Source organism: Homo sapiens, chromosome 5 (assembly GCF_000001405.40).
Source record: "Homo sapiens chromosome 5, GRCh38.p14 Primary Assembly".
NCBI classification, from domain to species: Eukaryota; Metazoa; Chordata; class Mammalia; order Primates; family Hominidae; genus Homo; species Homo sapiens.
In genome coordinates, this window is record NC_000005.10 from 139,406,001 (window position 1) to 139,425,373 (window position 19,373).

At 45.3% G+C, this 19,373-nt stretch overlaps 1 protein-coding gene and 1 long non-coding RNA gene across 2 annotated transcripts in view, besides 2 other annotated features; one reads left to right on the forward strand and one right to left on the reverse strand.

Moving 5' to 3' along the window:
• Positions 1–4,202: 4,202 nt before the first annotated feature.
• DNAJC18 (DnaJ heat shock protein family (Hsp40) member C18) overlaps positions 4,203–19,373 on the reverse strand; it is a 29,323-nt gene continuing 14,152 nt past the window's right edge. The window contains exons 5-8 of the mRNA NM_152686.4: positions 19,005–19,114; positions 16,708–16,817; positions 14,053–14,225; positions 4,203–8,272 (exon numbers count right to left, since the gene is read on the reverse strand). Of these exons, the coding sequence (NP_689899.1) occupies positions 8,148–8,272; positions 14,053–14,225; positions 16,708–16,817; positions 19,005–19,114 (518 nt within the window). The 3' untranslated portion in view covers positions 4,203–8,147. The remainder of the gene's footprint in view (positions 8,273–14,052; positions 14,226–16,707; positions 16,818–19,004; positions 19,115–19,373) is intronic.
• On the forward strand, positions 11,595–12,592 carry LOC124901082 (uncharacterized). The gene is made up of 2 exons (XR_007058960.1): positions 11,595–11,716; positions 12,002–12,592. It is a non-coding gene; the product is annotated as an uncharacterized LOC124901082 (long non-coding RNA).
• Positions 13,831–14,336: an enhancer, noted in NCBI's record as "NANOG hESC enhancer chr5:138755520-138756025 (GRCh37/hg19 assembly coordinates)". NCBI's record gives its function as "activates a minimal SCP1, AML or CMV promoter by ChIP-STARR-seq in naive H9 embryonic stem cells {active_cell/tissue: H9 hESC(naive)}" and the evidence as "EXISTENCE:reporter gene assay evidence [ECO:0000049][PMID:30033119]".
• Positions 16,362–16,511: a silencer, noted in NCBI's record as "silent region_16412". NCBI's record gives its function as "represses an Ori minimal core promoter by ATAC-STARR-seq in GM12878 lymphoblastoid cells {active_cell/tissue: GM12878}" and the evidence as "EXISTENCE:reporter gene assay evidence [ECO:0000049][PMID:35858748]".

The following is a 19,373-nucleotide window of genomic DNA, read 5'->3' on the forward strand; positions in this document are numbered from 1 at the left end:
CTCAGCCTCCCCAGTAGCTGGGATTACAGGCAGCTGCTATCATACCCAGGTGATTTTTTTGTATTTTTGTAGAGACGGGGCTTCACCATGTTGGCTAGGCTGGTCTCGAACTCCTGACCTCAGGTGATCGGCCAACCTTAGCCTCCCACAGTGCTGGGATTATAGGCGTGAGCCACTGTGCCCGGCCGACCTCTGTTAAAGGGCCTAGAACAATACAGTTCAATAGAACTTCTAGTGATGAAAATGTTCTACAGCTGCACTATTCAATAGCCACTAGCCACATGTGGCTCTTCAGCAGTTGAAACGTAGCTCATGTGACTGAGAAATTGCTTTAAATTTTTTATTATTTTCTGAAGATCACCTTAATCATGGCTCTTTAAAATTTTTAAATTTTTAGTTTAAATGGCCATGTGTGGCTACTGGCTACTGTACTGGAAAGTGTGTGCCTAGAGGGCACTGTGTAGGTTGTGTGCCTCAGCACAGACCCTCTCAGAACTTGGTGTACCAAATGTGAATGTTCACCTGAATCACCCTTCACAAAGCTGCACATTCTTCTGGGGCAGTGATTCCTGAGCCTTCCCCAAGAACTGCACTTCCTCCCTAGGATCTTTCATGAGGCACTGCTTGATGTCCCTTGATATCCAACATCCACCTTCACCAGCTGGAACAGGCTGCTCTCTGCGTACTTGGGGCAAAACCCTGGAGAGCAGTAGGCTCCAGCAGCCACCTGGGGGTGGAAGCTTATGAACAAGAGAGAACCCTGGATCCAGGTCTGCACCTGCTTCCTGGCATGGACATGAGGGGTGGTCACCCTGGTTGGGCACTGCCACAGACTCCTCTATATGTTGAAAGGCACTTTGGGCTCCTGGTCAACCAGGACTCAGTGAGACTCAGGATGACATGACATCACAAACAGCTCTGTGATCCTGCCAGGGAAGGGTTGCCTTTCTGCACAGGCTTGTCATTTTGGCTGATGTTCTGGTTATCTATTGGTGCATAATAAACCACCCCCCAATTTTTTTAAGTCATTGAAAAAAATCATTTTGTTCATGAATCTGGAATTTGGCAAGGCTCAATGGTGAAAGCTTATCTCTGCTCCATGCAGTGTGAACTGGGATGGTTCAACGGGGAGTTAGAAGTTCCAGTTCCAACATGGCTCACTCACGTGACTGGCAAGTTGGTGCTGTCAGCTGGGAGCTCTGCTAGGGCTGAGGACCAAAGGTCTTGGTTCCTCTCCATAGGCTGCCTGGACTTTCTGATAGCATGAAGACTGGGTTAAAGATAATCATTCAAAGTGACAGAAAATGGAAGATGCCAGTTTCTTAAGGCCTGGGCCTGATACCTGGCATAGTGTCATTTTTGCTGTATTCTATTGGTCAAGGAGTCAGAGTCTAGATTCCAGAGGAGGACACACAGATTCCTCCCCCTACCCCACCACCTTTCAATGGGAGTAGTGTCAAAGAATTTGGGCTGCACTTCTAGAGCAAATCCTTATGACAGATGGGGCACCACTCCCTTCAAGGTTCATTTCAGGTAAAACCAGTCAGGAACTTAGTCTAGTGGGAAAAGTCAGACAATAATCAAACAACCAGATAAATCTAAAGAGAAACTTAGCCAGGTGGGGCTAAGATTCTGTGCAAGGGAAAGCTTCTGTGAGGAAGTGATGTTTGAGCTGAAGCCTATTAAGGTAACTAGGAAGCACTTAGCAAAGAGGGTAGGGGCAGATGAGTAGGTAGGGATACCAGAAAGAGGAAGCAGTGTATACTTTGTGTATACAAAGTCCCTGGGGCAAAAGGGGCTGGTAGAGTGTAGTAATTAAAGGGTAGCATGGCATAAAAGAAAAAGATTATAGGGCAAGAGGGGGCTTGGGTAGTGGGTAGAGACCAAGAACTTGGCAGAGCCTTGCTAAGCAAGGTAGGCCATGCTAAGGATTTTGGTGATTTTTATTTTAGGGACAAAAGAAAGCTACTGAAATATTTTAAGCAAGAGGATGACGTGATCCAATTTATGCTTGGAAAAGATCTCTTTGGTTGCAGTGAGGTATACAGATTGGAGTGGGGCTGTGTAAGTGCACAGAGACCACTTTAACCGAGAAGGCTACTGCAGTGAAAGTGGATGGTAGTTTGAGAGTCAGATAGTGTCAGAGATGAGAGTAGGTTTAGGATATTCTGGAGGTAAAATTGATGGAACTTAACAGAGAGAGGGAATAAGGGAATATGGGGACAAGGAAAAGGTGTTTTGGCTGTCTATTGCTAAAAACCACCATAAAATGTAATGGCTTCAAACAGCAACTTTTTTTTTTTTTTTTTAAAGACAGAGTCTTACACTGTCGCCCAGGCTGGAGCGCAGTGGCGCGATCCCAGCTCACTGCAACCTCCGCCTCCTGGCCTCAAGCAATCCTCCCACCTTAACCTTCCTAGTAGCTGGAACTGTAGGTGTGCAGCTAATTTTTATATTTTTCGGTAGAGACAGGGTTTCATCACGTTGCCCAGGCTGGTCTTGAACTCCTGGGCTCAAGCCATCTGCCTGGCTCAGCATCCTAAAGTGTTGGGATTACAGGCATGAGCCACTGCACCTGCAAAAAAATGGCTGCAATCATTTTATTATTTGCTCACAATTCTGCAGACTGAGCAGGACTTGGTGGGGCAGCACATTTCTGCTCTGCCCATCATCTGGGGTAACACAAATGGCTCAACTTGAATTATGTGTTTGGGTCCTCAGTTCTTGCTGTCAGCTTGGTTGCTGGGTTCTCTTCTGCATGGCTTCTCCTTTGGTTAGTGTAGTGGTCTCAGGTAGTTGAATTTACATGGTAGCTGGCTTCCCTCCAAGTACAAAAATGGAAGCTGCCAGTTTTGCCACATTCTGTTGGTTAAAGGTCAAAGGCCAGCCCCGATTAGAAAAGGGACTACACAAAGGCATAAATATTAGGGGATGCCAAATTAAGTCTACCACACAAAGTTTCCTGGGTTTTTGACTTTTTAATTTTTTTTTTTTTGAGACGGAGTCTTACTCTGTCGCCCAGACTAGAGTGCAATGGTGCAATGTCGGCTCACTGCAACCTCCGACTCCCAGGTTCAAGCGATTCTTCTGCCTCAGCCTCCTGATAGCTGGGATTACACACACCCGCCATCATGCCTGGCTAATTCTTGTATTTTTAGTAGAGATGGGGGTTTCTCCATGTTGGTCAGGCTGGTCTCAAACTCCCGACCTCAGGTGATCCACCCACCTCAGCCTCCCAAAGTGCTGGGGTTACAGGTGTGAGCCACTGTGCCTGGCCAACTTTTTAATTTTATTGTTAGAGACGGGGTCTTGCTATATCACTCAGGCTGGTCTCAAGGTCCTGGCCTCAAGTGATCCTCCCACCTCAGCCTCTGGAGGTAGCTGGGATACAGGTGTGCAAAACCGTGCCTGGCTTGGGTTGCTGACTTTGGCACTTGGATGGGTGGAAGTGCTAGTGATGGTAATGGGAGCACTGGAAGTCTTGCTTCCGTTCTCCTTCACTAAATAAAAATCTACTCATCTCTGTAGGAAGGGTGATTATATTTCACATATTTCTTCCTCAGAGTTGCTTTCACTGACCCCTCAGACTGGGTTAAATCCCTTTGTTATACAGTCTGTGGTCACCTTGGTCTCCCTTTAGCTATTCATTGCACTGGGGAGTGCTGTGGAAAGCCTGGCCTCCCCATTAGATGTGAGCTCCAGGAGTCTTGGTGCTGGGCCTCACCTGTTCCCTGACCCCCATTCCAAAAACCCAGCCCACCTGGCTCAGAGTAAGTTCTCAATCATTGCTGAATTGAATCTCATCTCACTTTCTTTTTCAAATGAAAGCTATCATGACCAGTTAGGATCATGTAAATATCATTTACTATATTTTTAAACCAAAACTTTCCTAAATATGGGCCACTAGGACCAAAGCCAGCAAGGAACTGGGATAACACCTGAATTTCTGATGCTAAGTGTAGTTTTGATCTGTATATTGGCTGTGAGGTACTGCAGCTGCTGTTATCTGATAGAAAATGTGGAACTGATGCCAACAATGCTATCTACTATTCTAAATGCAAATAATCCCACTGACGGGTGAGGGAAGACTGGAGCAGGCGTCAAAAGCTTCTTTAGTCGGAAGTGGCTCCAAGGGAGTCAGGCGATGTGCAGTGGCCAAGGATGCCATGGGCAAAGGTAAAAGAACCAAGGAAAAGTAGCCATTCTTTTAATATAAAATTGTTTAATGTTTTTCTTTGTTGCAGTACACTCAATCCAGATGTAGTGGATGAGGTGGCCAGATTTTTTCAAGATTCTTAGTCCACCAGGAGCTGATTCCATTTGTGTCATCCCTACTCTGGTCACAGAACATTCACATCTTTAATTCCAAATACTGAGCGTGATGTAAATGATGTAATCAGTATCTAACACGAGTATATACTTTCTTGGTGGCCACTGCATGACATATCAACAGTGCAGCCTCAAAAAAAAGATGTTTTGTAACTTGGCCCTTTCCAAAAATAAATATATTAGGACACTAAGCTTATACCTTAAATGAGGGCAGAATAAATATGAATGAAGTGCAAGCTCCTGTGAGGAGCAGTGCATGCAGATGATGTACTTGCTTGTATGGTGTGGCCAGCTGTAACAGAAAGCCACTGGAACGGCACAGTGCCTCCTCACAAAGCCCATCCTGGGTATCATGAGGAAAAAGAATGACACATAGCTTGGCCAGGCTGCTGGAACCCATGTTCCAGTGGCATCTGGAGTTCACTGTATTTTCTTTTTTCTTTCTTTTTTTTTTTTTGAGACAGAGTCTTGCTCTGTCACCCAGGCTGGAGTGCAATGATGTGATCTCAGCTTACTGCAACCTCTGCCTCCCAGGCTCAAGAGATTCTTCTGCCTCAGCCTCCTGAGGAGCTGGGATTACAGACACGTGCTACCATGCCCGCCTAATTTTTGTATTTTTAGTACAGACAGGGTTTCACCATGTTGGCCAGGCTGGTCTGGAACTCCTGACCTCAAATGATCTGCCTGCCTCAGCCTTTCAAAGTGCTGGGATTACAGGCATGAGCTACTGGGCCTGGCCAGTTCACTGTATTTTCGAACAATTTCCAACAGAAAGCACAGCAGTGACGTTTCCTTACTGGTCACTGCTCCCGTGCTGTGAGGCCTGGAGCTGATCAAGGAAGCTTACACATTTCCCGGCCTGAGCAGATGAACTCTAGGGTTGCTAATCTGGGGACGTGGGTTCCTTCAAGCTCTTTGTGATGAGAAGGATTTTCATCCTCCTTTTCTCACTGCCGATCGTGCGGTAGAGAGAGCATCTTCATTTGAATGAGAGCTTCAGTTTCTGCTTGAGCCTCAAGCCCTATTTCTGAGCGCTGCTCCTCTCACACACGTCTCCAATCTGCAGTAATGCTCAAAGAAACAGTCTAGAGCTGGGTGCCAAGCTCCGGCAGCAAGAATAAGCCCTACCTAGTTATGTATGATCAGGAGATCTTCCAAAGGACGTAGGCGAGAGGAAAAAGCTTATTTTACCACCATGCAGACAACCCATCTAAAATATAACCCAGGAAATTATAGCTTCACAATATTCTGGATAGTATCAAATAGATAAATCCTTCAACCAAAAGCAAATACGGTTCCCTTGAGGAAAAACAGATGTGAATGTTGTGGTCTATTGGCAATAAATAAAACAGTACCATCGGTGCTATAAAAACAGACAATCAGCGTGACATTTAATGGAGTTAGTTATTATTGCTTCTATTTAGTATCATCACAGATTACTTATCGCTGCCATGAAGTCCATAAAATGTGTGACTACCTGATTCCTGGGCATCTAGGACAGGGTCTTTTAACCTGTCAAGTCAGTTTCATTATGGCCAATTTTCTAGCAGTGGTTGGGGATGGGGAGAGGAGAGCTTTGATTTTTTTGTGTGTAGAAGAACTTTCCATAAGCCTGTTTGGCTCATGGACATATTTTACAATGTAACCTCCCTCAGTCACTCAGAGGGGATCAAGAAGGGCCCCCTAAAACCAGGAGGACAGATCTAGTTGGGCAGCAAAATCTGGCTATTTCTAGAAATGCTCCCTCTCCCTGCAACTGAGCAGTTGTCCCCTACAAGCCACTAAAGCCCCCAATCTTTACCTGTGAACCCATCTCCTGACTCTGTGGAATGCCTGCAGAGGCATGGTAGGGAACAACCGTTCAGATGTTGATGAGCCATGCTAGGCACGTCTGTGTAAATCATGGCCATGCATTGGGATGAAGAAACTTTACTTTGGAATCTGTTTAATGTAGACTCTTTTTTTTTTTGAGATGGAGTGGAGTGCAGTGGCGTGATTTCAGCTCACTGTAACCTCCACCTTGCAAGTTGCAGCGATTCTCATGCCTCAGCCTCCCGAGTAGCTGGGACTACAGGCATGTGCCACCACACCTGGCTAATTTTTGTATTATTAGTAGAGATGGGGTTTCACTGTGTTGGCCAGGCTGGTCTTGAACTCCTGACCTCAGGTGATCCACCTGCCACAGCCTCCCAAAGTGCTGGGATTACAGGCTTGAGCCAGTGCACCCGGCCGACTCTCTACCAGAAACTTTTCTTCCAATATGAAGGAAGCATGGAGTGTAGGCTACAGTCACTTAATGATCCTTCCAAGTTCAGAGTCATGATAATTCAGGCAGCTCAGCTCCACAGGAAGGCCCAGAACCACACAGCCCAGGCAGTGACTGAATTCTTCCTAGTCACCAGTGGAGGGCTGCCTGCCTGTGAGGGACCTCTTATTTTGTGTACAGAATTTATGTTAGACAGGGTCCTGCTTCCTAAAGAGCAGCAGGGATGTTGTCCTGAACAGATGCAAGATTGCCACAGAAAAGATGAGGGGTCATGGGGTTGGGGAGGACGGAGGCATCCTCGGGAAAGGTTCTGCTTTGCCAGTCTGGCTAGAATCACCTGAGACATGAGGATGCTCTCCCACTTTCTACTTGACACTCAGCCTACCGTCTTGCTCTGCCACTACAAGACCTGGGTCATCCTCTCTGGGCCAATGTTCTCATTCATAGAACCAGGGATAATACATCTACTTCAGAGTTGTGAGGAGGTTTAAGTAAGAAAATATGTGTGAGAGCCCCTGCTTTTATAGTAGGCACTCAATAAATGTTGAATGAATGAAAAATCATCTCAAATCACAAACTATAGGATACTGGGTTAAACAAAGTGGCTGCTGGGGCCAAAGCTAGACCCCCATATCCAAGGAGAGAGGATCTGTCTCCTCTATCTCTAGGCTTGAGCAAACAGCCTGGAGAGCTGGCAATGCCTCCTCCTGGGTCTGACCATCTGCCTCTGTGGGATGTAGGAACTCAGCCTAAGTGCGATGACACCAATGATGATACTGAGGGGAAATGACCGAAGGGACATTCTCTGGGTTCTATGATGGAGTAGGGAGGCTTCGTGGAGGAGATGAGGCTCGGTCTTGCATTATACCTTCGCCCTGGCCCCCGCCTCCAGATGCTGCTCAGTAGTTTTAATTTCTGGACTCTCTAAAGGAGAGAGGGTTAAGGAAATAAAGGAATCTCAAATTAGGCAGTTTGCTAATGCTACTAACTGAGCAGAGATTGGAATAATAGAAAACTATTGACTACAATAGTTTAAATTTCTCCATATTCCCCTAGAAAATGGAAAGCTGGGCAGGAACATGTTCCAAAGGCTAAATCTTGGCGGAGATGATGACTCTAATGAAGGGAGAGGTATAATTCTTGGTAGACAGTGTAAATAACTAATATTAAGCTTTGGCTAAGCCTAGGAATGCCTGGTTCTTAAGACTTCACTGAAGAAGGGAAGAAGGAAGAAAGCATGGATCTGCTCTGGGATGCCCTGAACTCCATTCACATAGGCAGGGTAGGCATGGAGCAGGGAGACGGAATCCAATGCCTTGCCATTAATTTAACTTAGATGAACTACTCCTGGTCCCTGGAGCCACTCCCCAGGAAGGATCCTGTGAAGACACATCTGGCTCTCGTGCCCATGCTCCTGCCACTCTGCCCAACCAACGAAGTTAGCAAATAGTAAAGTGTTCATCATTACCTAGTTTTGTATTATAAAATGGAATCAGGAACATAAATAGGAACAAGTAGCAAAACCCCAGCCCTGCGTAGGACCATTATCCTCTCAGCCACCTCTGCGTAGGCCAATGAGTTTGGAAAGTTTCTCACAGTTTTCAAGTTTCAGCGACTCTGCTTTCTGTTTCAATCGTTCATCTCTGTATAATCCTGCCAAATTTGTCAGCTCTGACTCTGAAAGATAAAAGAGGTAACCAATTCATCAAGAGCTGAACTCCTTTGTTTCATTTCAATGTTTCTGGAGTCAAAGCTCCTTTTACTTCATTTCAAGCTTTTTCTTACAATTAAATATAAGAAACATTTAGTCATTTATTCACAAAACACGTCTTAGGTACTAGACCAGGTGTGGAGGATTAAAGGGCACCTGTGACCCTGCAGTCCAACAGTATCTGTGCTCTCTTATAAAAGCACTGGACTTAGTTCTTACCAAGAAAACATTTGGCACCAGACTTAGGAAACCTGCGCATGTGCAGTGAGACCACCCTATAGCCTCCTACAAACGGGATTCCAACAGCAGCTGGGAGAGAATGGAGTCCAGTGGCCTATTCCTGTCATCTGAAACAGACAGCTGCTTTATTCTTCTCCTGCATTGCTGCATCATAACTCACATGTGCGAAGGCACACAGAGCCTACTGCTGCCGGGTGTGCGTCCACAGAAGGCCAGGGCACTACTGGCGCTGTTCATTCCCTCACCACACGTAGGGTCCCCAACTCAAAGGCCAAAGGCAGCTGGGCCTTTCTAAAAGTTGAATCATCTGGATCCGGTGACCTTTGTCTCCTTGACTAAATTAATTTCATTTTCTCTTTATGGTGGAGAAGGTCATTCTATTTTTAACCAGAATATAATCTCTGCTGTGTTTCCTGACTCAACAGTGGTTTGGTTGCCTCTATTTTTTATTCTTTTGTGAGGTTTCAGACATATTCAGGGAGGAATGCCTGAAGAGCACCTTTAGAGACGTATTGCGTATTAACAGGATGGCATGCTTGGATGTGGTGTGTGTTTCCTGAAAGCCTCCAACAGCAGGCAGCTACTCAATGTTTAAAGGACCAGACTTGTAAAAATGCTATTTTAATTGTTTTGAAATATGCCTATCTATTCTTAATCATCTTGCTGACAGATTTTGTTTTTCTTGGTGGAACGAAAGACACCTGTCTGATTAATCAGCAAACTGCCTGGAAACGGAATTATTATTTAGCCAGGGGGAACAATGGGCATTGCTTTCTGAATACGTTTCTATCAACACAAAACACTGTCTGGCATTTCTGTGCACAATGATGCTATTTACCCCCAAGTAAGGCCCAAAGTGCAGATTAAGTGCAGGACTCCAGAGTGAGGGATGGATATGCATAAAAACCCTCCCTCTACAATGGAGGCCGCACAGCCTGGGCTCTAGCCCAGCAGTTGCTTGGCAAGCAGTGGGTCTCCCAGGCTCCAGAACAATGCGCTCTCCCTGCTTGGTGAGGGTGCCTGCAGCGCCTGCTAGCCAGGGCTTGCCTTGGCACAGTCACCCTTGCAGGTGATGGGGCGTCATGGAGGATCATGGGCCATATCCAAATGAAAGCTCTCTGCTCCTGCATCCTGCCCAGGGCTCGGCACTAACTCCAATCTCAGGCTACTTTGGCATGTGGGTAACCTTGCCCAGGAGGCCTCTGTGAAGTCAGTCTATGCCTTTAGTCCTCTGGAGTCACAGTTACACCAGTATTGAAACAGATTCTGTGGTTTTGCTTTTCTTTGAAATGATTTCCTCAGGTTTTCCATTTGCTCAGCTTTTCTAAATGCTTCATTCCCTGAAATCTTGTTCCAGGAAACATTAAGGGCTAGTGACTCTTTATATTTTCTACATTGAAGGCCACTTCAACAAGCTGATGAAAGATAACTGCTTTTCTCAAAATATCACATTGCTTTTCATAAAGTTCACTGAAACCAGCTCAGAGACCCCTGCTCCAGAGCAATGACCTTGTACAAGGTCAGTGTTTCAAGGAATCATGTCCCACATCCCCACTACCAAGCTTAAAGCAACTTCTCTCCAAACTGCCAGTGAATCCTTTCATCCTTCAATGAACAAAGGGTCAACTTGAAGAATATGCTACTTTTGACAAATTCTGTTAATATTCAATAAATTCTAAGTAATTAAAAAAAATTTTGGGGAGTGGCAGGTTCCAGAGAATACCTTTTCTTCTTAGCAGAAAGTTCCCCTTCCTCTGAATGCCACTGTAACAGATGGACAGAGCATTGAGCCTTAAAGATAAACTGACTCAGGCAAATTGCCAAGAGAAGCAAGACCCAGAACCTCTCCTAAGGTTCTCTGCAAAAGAGCCCAGATTGGTCTCAACAGCTGAAAGACCGCAACAGATCCCAACTGCCCTCATGATCCAGCCCCATGAGATGGTGCTACATCCAGTCTACAGTGCAAAGCCAGGTAAAGCCAGGACTCCACCAGAAATTAGGCACTTTCTATGTGCCAGACACTGTGCTAAGAGTTACACCCATACCATCTTCCATAACCCACACAACCTCTCTAGGAGGAAGTGGATTCTATCCCCATTTCAAAGCCTAAGCTTCTACCCACTAGGTTATCCTGCTCAAGGGTGTGGAAAGAAGTGCTCCTCTACCAGTCTGGGCCAGGAGCTCAGCTCAGCTCAGCTAGGCCAAGAGGCAGTTCCTGCCTGCTACCTTCGTCCAGCCCAGCCTAGTGGTGTGGCCACTTGCCCTGGCATCAGGCTTACTATCTAGATGCAGCTGCGAAGAAGTAAACAGGACAATTAGTGTTTATAGTAAGGGATTACTCATAAAGGTTTGCCCAGATTGGCCGGGTGTGGTGGCTCACGCCTGTAATCCCAGCACTTCGGAGGCCGAGGTGGGCGGATTACCTGAGGTCAGGAGTTCGAGACCAGCCTGACCAACATCCTTGAAACCCCGTCTCTACTAAAAACTACAAAAATTAGCCAGGCACGGTGGCATGCACCTATAGTCCCAACTACTCAGGAGGCTGAGGCAGGAGAATCGCTTGAACCTGGGAGGTGGAGGTTGCAGTGCGCCGAGATTGCATGACTGCACTCCAGCCTGAGCGAGAGAGCGAGACTCTGTCAAAAAAAAAAAAAAAAAAAATTTTCACCCAGATTAAACATTCTAAGGAAGAGCAGAGAAAAATAAATGAACCAAACAAAGATTTAAAAAGTCAATGGCTAACCTTGCTAAAAACAGTTTGCATTTGGTATTTTGCCAAGAGTGAACTTTGTTCTCAAGTGGGTTTATTTTTACAACCTCCAAGTGCTAAATTTAACCTTGTTGGCTGCACTTGCTGCTGGATTCGGAGGGCAGATGCTGCTTGTTCTCAAATGGCACTTGGGTTGTGTGGAGGCTCTGCATAGCCGCTGTACTTAAATGCCAGAAATAGATTTTTAAGGGGTTTGTGCTGATAACTGCCATTTGGAACTTGTGGGTACACGCATCATGCTTACTCACTGGATTTTTTTTTTTTTTTTTTTTTTTTAGATGGAGTCTCGCTCTGTCACCCAGGCTGAAGTGCAGTGGCACGATCTCAGCAGACTGCAACCTCCGCCTCCCGGGTTCAAGAGATTCTCCTGCCTCAGCCTCCCAAGTAGCTGGAATTACAGGTGCGCACCACCACACCCAGCTAATTTTTGTATTTTTAGTAGAGAAGGGGTTTCGCCATGTTGGCCAGGTTGGTCTCGAACTCCGGACCTCAGGTGATCCATCCTCCTTGGCCTCCCAAAGTGCTGGGATTACAGGCATGAGCCACCACACCTGGCCACTCACTGGATTTTTATTTATACCTGGAGAGTGCCGAAGCTCTGAACTAGGCCTCATGGGGATGGGGACAAAAGCTGAGAAACTACCTCTGGTGCAATCCTTACCATGAGCTCTTTGTATAATTCCAGCATCTTACTGCCACAGAGGAAGATGTGGGGCAGGCGGGTGTTTGAAGAATGTGAAATGCAGATTTTCATCCAGTTCTTGCAGAAAGCAACAAAGTCAAAGCCCTCCCAGGACCCAGACAATGGGGATTTTCAGGACATACACTGGCTTTCACCTGATTTGGATCCATGTATATACTGCCTTTTTATTGAGACAGGATCTCGCTCTGTGGCCCAGGCTGGAGTGCAGTGGAGTGATCACAGCTCACTGCAGCCTTGATCTCCCAGGCTCGACCTCCTGAGTAGCTGAAACCACAGGCATGTGCTGCCACACCTGGCTTATTTTTATACTTTTTCTAGAGATGGGGTTCCCAGGCTGGTCTCAAACTCCTGGACTCAAGTGATCCTCCTGCCTCGGCCTCCCAAAGTGCTAGGACTATAGGCATGAGCTACCATGCCTGGCCTATATACTGCCTTTTAATATGAGGCCTTTATCCTGCTCTAAAATTCTTTCCTGATTTTTGATTCTTGTAAAATCTAGTTTAGCAATGGGGTAGAGTATTTCCTGAATCCTCAGTGTTTTTCAATAAATTGGAATTTCCTCTTCCTGTTTAATTTCCTCTTATATCCCAGAGTCATTGCTCACCAACTTCCTAATGCACCTTGAGAGAACATTAGGACTTTGCCGTACAGAAATAGGGGGCAGAGACCAGGTCCCTAAGGGTGAGCTAGGACACTAACCCTGCTGTTGTTATTCACAATCCTCAGCATTTTCATTGTTTTCTACTCCTGAGAATCCTCTCTTCAAAAGACATTTGTTGAGCACTTGTTCTGAAGCAAGGACTGTGCCAGAACCCTGGGACACAAAATTAGTAAGACCAAGTTCTTATTCCCAGACAGTCCATAGTCTTGCAGGGGAGACTGACATATATCCCTGGAACTCTAACACTGTGTGATTGGTACTATGTTAGCAGGCTGAACAAAGTGCTTTAAGAACACAGAGGAAGGAGAGCTTAACTTGAGGGCGGGGTTGGGAGTGTGTGATGGTCAATGAGGGCTTAGCAGCACTGTGACTGAAGAGCTAATTTTATCAGACTCCATTAGGTATTTAATGATACTCAGTAATAAGGCTTTAGAAATGAGTCAGAATTTGCTTTTTAAACATGAGCCAAAACTTCAGTTAAAAGGGTACCTCCTGAAAAATAAAAAAGAAAATAAAAATAATCAAAACCAAGTTTTAGAAGACACAGTCACTAACGCGGTATGTGTGTGTAGAATTCAAGTGGGACCAAAGGTGAAGCTGTTGGCTGAGACGGGGCTACCCCTGCTGCAGACACTCCTAGTAACACTTGCTGGAGCTGTAAGCCAGTGGCAGATGCTATCATCCCCACTGTCTCCAGAGAGGGAAATAGGGGGGAAGGCCTGCCACACCCAAAGGGGCAGACCCAAGGGGTCGCTTTTGTTCTGTGTGGCCACAACCAGCTGGAGGTGAGGGTAGGGGACACCTCATTCCATACCAGAAACCTCTAAACCTTTGTTCTGTTTCAAAAAGTTAGGCTGGCTCGATCAGATTTCCCTCTAGGGAGTGTGGAATTGGGAAACTGTGGACCAAATCAGCGAGCACCAAGAACTTACAGACGTGTGTGCTGCAGAAAGGGGCACTGACTGGTGAGACTGGGGAATTTGAGAGAGTGATAAGCAGGGTGGCAACCACTGTAAACCATGGCAAACAAGGTTATGCAAAAGGGAAGCTGGAAGAAAGAAAGGAAGGCAGCTGGTGGGGAGAGGAGAGGGGGCAGATTGGCAGAGAGAGGTAGAGACTCAAAGAGAGACAGACATACAGACAGGTGACTAGTGCCGCCTAAATTCCTAAGATTTCCAAGTCCTGGCCACATGTATCCTGTCAATAAATTTCCCCTACTTTTTTATAGTATCCTGAATGGCCTTTGTCCTCTGACTCTGTTCACATAAACATGCGTAGCCTCAAACAAGAAGAGAGGAGGGATCAGGAGGCTGGGGGTGCCTCCTGCTGGGAACCACAGCCACCAGCTAATGCCCCTTTTACAGTATCTTACTTTGTTGTTTCTCCTTCCAACAACTAGTCTGGATATAATCAATGTAATCCTTCTCTATTGTTTTCTCCAAGTCATGCAGAGAAGCTCCTCTGTAGGCCTTGTCAAAGTTTTTATCCACAAAGTAAGGCACCTGCAGGTTCTGAGTTTCTCTAGAAATGGTGTAGCCCAAGGTCCTGAAACAAGGAGAGAGAGGCTCATGTGAGCTCATAATATTTGGCAATATTACTCTTAGCACTGCCCTCACAGATATCATCATCATCATCTGCTCATAGAGCAGAGGCAGATATCATTTTCTAATATACCCAACACTTCTTATTTCCCTAGCAAAGTTGTAAGTATAACATCATCATAATTGTATTATGTAAGCAAGTTCATACTATGAATTCAGCTTCAGCATAGTTTATTCTCTTAAAGGACTCACCTCTCTTATACTGCTCTCTGTGCTAAAAGTAGAATGCTGAATGCTTAAAACAAACAATTTTTACGTTGTGTAGGATCTAGTATGGTACCTGACAGAGTAGGCTATTATAAATGCTGGTTGAATGAACTGATTATGTTATATAGCAAATTATTTACAAAAAAAACAGATAGCTCACACCAACCTAGAAGCAATATTTTGGACATGATAAAAAGTACTTCGCACATAGCTGCTAACTGAGAACTGCAAGAAACTCAGACAAAAGATTTCAATGATGCTTTAGAGCTAACTCTCTGTGGGTCCAAGACATCCAAAGGTATCTGGTGCTTAGCAACATTAATAAGAGTACTGAGCTGACTAATTCTAACCATAAGGAAACATAGAAGGGACCTCAAACTCAAGTTAAAACAATGTGACAGAAATGGTTTTCTTCAAACTGGACAAATTCTACATTAAAGGGGCTATATTTTATTTGGCCTTTTTCCGGCCCTCTCCTTTGATCCTCTCTAATTAGAGTAAGAGCTGAAGCCATGACTGCTCTCCCCTCACTCTAAGGTTTTGGGGGAGCTTACAGAGCAGGTCCGTGCTTACCCCGCTGGCCTCACAAGAAAGAAAGCTAAAGTGCCATATGGAAAAACATGAGAAGCTGGGAAACAGAGGGAATCAGGCCAGTGTGGCCTGATGGCAAAAACCTCTCTATGAAGGCTAGGTGCAGTGGCTCATGACGGTAATCCCAGCACTTTGGGAGGCCAAGAAAGGTGGAGGTCAGGCGTTCGAGACCAGCCCAGCCAACATGGTGAAACCCAGTCTCTACTAAAAAATACAAAAATTAGCCAGGTGTGGTGGCACATGCTTATAATCCCAGCTACTCAGGAGGCTGAGGCATGAGAATCGCTTGAACCTGGGAGAAGGGGATTACAGTGAGCCAAGATTGCACCACTGCACTTCAGCCTGGGAGCCTGGGTGACAGAGCAAGACTGCTTCGAAAACAAAAACAATAAAAAGAAACCTCTCTTTCAGCCTCAGCTTCGCTCTCTGTAAAAGGAAAATACTAGCCGGGCGCGATGGCTCATGCCTGTAATCCCAGCACTTTGGGAGGCCAAGGTGGGCAGATCACCTGAGGTTAGGAGTTTGAGACCAGCCTGGCCAACATAGTGAAACCCTGTCTCTACTAAAATATAAAAATTATCCGGGTGTGGTGGTGCGTGCCGCCTGTAATTCCAGCTACTCAGGAGGCTGAGGCACATGAATTCCTTGAACCAGGGATGTGGAGGTTGAAGTGAGCCCAGATTGCACCACTGCACTCCAGCCCAGGCGACAGAGTGAGACTCTGTCTCAAAAAACAAAAACAAACAAAAAAGGAAATACTGACCTGGATTGACCTGGAATGATGGTCTTGTCTACAGTGATCACTGACAAAGACTCTTCCTGTTATATATTGTCTAATAAATTCTACTTTTAAAAGGTTTTTTTCCCACTAAATTATAATAATGAATAATAATTTATTATTCATTATTAACAAAAAAGATAATCTAGTGATTCTCAAACTTCAGTGTGGACCAGAATAATCTAGAGGGTTTTTTAAAACTCAGACTTCTGGTCCTACCCCCAGAGCCTCTAATTCAATGGATATGGAGGGGCCCTAGAATCTGCCTTTCTAACATGTTGCCTGTTGATGCTGACGATGGCTGGTCTGGGGACCAAACTTTGGGAACTGAATCAACTGAAAGAATTAATTGAAGAAATTTTTAAAAATCCTATCAGAGTTTATAATCTATACGCAAAAAGCATTACAAGGAATTTCTCTATTTTCAACAAAAACAAAAAAATTGAAAATAATCACTTGATCCCCATTATTAATACTATGCTCCGAGACCCACAGGGTCCAGCAATCCTATCAACAGCTTAACAGAGTCTTTCTAACTCTACCATGGTGTGATAATGAGTTCATCTAAACCTTAAATTCTACTGATCCTTCAAAAACCAGTTACTGCTGTTCTGCAGCTGACCAGATGATGTCACTATAGAACAAGACAATCTATTTCCCGAGGCACACAGGAGACTGCCTCAGTATTTTTGAGTCTCAGCACCATGACTACCCAGCTGTTCCTTTAAACATCAAATCGGTGTTTTCTACAGCAAAAGGTGAAATGAAATGTTAGTAATGTATCAGCAAAACCTTCAAGTCTTTCACCCCCAGACTGTTACTGAGAAAGATTTAGAAATACCAGACTTACGATTTATAGAACAGACTATATGGGGGATTAGTAGCCAGCAGCTGAGTAATGACAGATATAATCACAATCACAAGAACTGGAAGTAGCTGAATAAATGCAGAATATGTAGTCTGAAAAAGAAAAAAAAATAAAAACTTGCTGTAAGTGTTCTTTTTTTTTTTTCTGTCGCCCAGGCTGGAGTGCAGTGGTGCGATCTCGGCTCACTGCAAGCTCCGCCTCTCGGGTTCACGCCATTCTCCTGCCTCAGCCTCCCGAGTAGCTGGGACTACAGGCACCCGCCACCACGCCCGGCTTAGTTTTTGTATTTTTAGTAGAGACAGGGTTTCACCGCAGCCAGGATGGTCTCGATCTCCTGACCTCGTGATCTGCCCACCTCGGCCTCCCAGAGTGCTGGGATTACAGGTGTGAGCCACTGCGCCTGGCCTGTAAGTGTTCTTTATCAATATAAAGCTTATTGAAAATAAGATAGTTGCTCCAAAGAAAATAACAAATTATCAATGCACTGCATAGGAGGATCCACAAAGCCCCAGGCTTTTCTGGGAAGGCTGTACTTTCAGCTGAGAAGTACAGGTTGGGCAGTCCTAATCAGAAAATTCAAAATCACAAATGCTCCAAAATCTAGAACTTTTTGAGTACCAGGATGACACTTAAAGGAAATGCTCATTGGAGCATTTTGGATTTCCTTTTTTTTTTTTTTTCTGAGACATGGTCTTGCTCTGTCACCCAGGCTAGAGTACAGTGACACAAACATGGCTCACTGCAGCCTTGACCTCCTGGGTTCTGATGATTCTCTCGCCTCAGCCTCCTGAGAAGCTGGGACCACAGGTGCACACCACCGTGTCCAGCTAATTTTTAAATTTTTGTAGAGACAAGGTCTTGCCATGTTGCCCAGGCTAATCTCAAACTCCTAGGCTCAAGCAATTCTCCTGCCTCAGTTCCCCCAAAGTGTTAGGATTACAGGTGTGAGCCATAGCACCCAGCCTCAGATTTTCAGATTAGGAATTGTCAAATATATAATGGTATAATGCAAATTTCCAAAATCCAAAAAAAAAAAAAAATCTGAAATCTGAAATACTACTGGTCCAATTTACTTCAGATAAGGGATACTCAATCTATACCAAATAACCTTTACTCTCTCTGCTGAGCAGGCTGAAGGAGGTCCAACAACAACCTGGATTGACACCCAGTAATCCCCCTGCAGCCCCATTAATAAGACCAATGAAGCAAACATCTCTAGGTAAACCTGCCCAGACTGTGCCTCTTACAGTAGTGGGGCTCTAGGAGCCAGGTTAGCATCATGCTTGGCCACAGCTGATTGGACTCAGGGGACATCCAACTCTGGCAGAGGTAATCACGTTTTCTCTCCTAGGAATTTGGGGTTGAAACTCATCACCCTTCACTTCTGGGTCATCACTTTAAGGAAGAACACACACTCTCAGGCACTGTAGACTGGCTATTTGCAAGGGGAAGTAGAACAAGCAAAGCTGCTTGGTGAAAACAAAACAGAGGCAAAGAGTGGCAGGAAAACTGGAGACAATCTGGGCCCAAAGAGTCCTGCAGAGCACAGCTGCTTGGGAGCCTGACAGTATCCCAGTTCCTTGTTCCTGTCTGTCATGAGGCCCAGCTGTGCTTCTTGTCCTTGAGCTTCATGAGACTCTTTTGATCCCTTACCTTAAACCCCCTTTAGTTCTAAATATTTTGAAGAGGATTCCTATTTTCTGCAGCCAAGAAAATTATGAAGCCGGAGCGGTGGCTCATGCCTGTAATCCTAGCACTTTGGGAAGCCAAGGCAGGAGGATCACTTGAGCCCAGGAGTTTGTGACCAGCCTGGGAAACATGGTGAGAAATAATCTCTACAAAAAATGAGCTGGGCATGGTGGCACGCACCTATAGTCCCAGCTACATGAGAGGCTGAGGTGGGAGGATTGGTTGAGCCCTGGAGTTTGAGGCTGTAGTGAGCTGTGTTTCTACTATTGTACTCCGGCCTGAGTGACAGTGAGACCCTCTCTCAAAAAAAAAAAAAAAAAAAAAAAAAAAAAAAAAGCCTTGATGAAGTCAGCCCCACAGATTGCTGAGATTCTGGGAGAGCCACCCAAGAATGGGCAGAGGGAGGGGATACCATTCTGCCTATTTAGGCCAATTTTCCAGCTCTTCTAACCATTGCTTTTGCTTTCCTAAAGCACATCTTTCCTAAAGCAACATATCTCAGGTTCAACTTCTAAAACTTGACCATGTACCATCAAGGTTGGCCAAGTACAACTGTTTATGGGCAGCAGTGCTCCTCCCTCCCTAGGTACCTGAGGTTTCTCTTCTTCCTCCTCCTTCTGAGTCTGTGTCCTCTCATGTCGGTGCCGTCGACGGTAATAGTAAGTGTCATCTGTCACATTTGAAAACATATGAATATTTCCTGGAAAAGAAATACATGGTATGGGATATGGCAAACACTCCTTCCCTGCCTTTTTCTTTTTTTTTTGGAGATGGAGTTTTGCTCTGTTACCCAGACTGGAGTGCAATGGGGTGATCTCGGCTCACTGCAACCTCTGCTTCCTGGGTTCAAGCGATTCTCCTGCCTCAGCATCCTCAGTAGCTGGGATTACAGGCACCCGCCACCATGCCTGGCTAACTTTTGTATTTTTAGTAGAGATGGGGTTTCACCATGTTGGCCA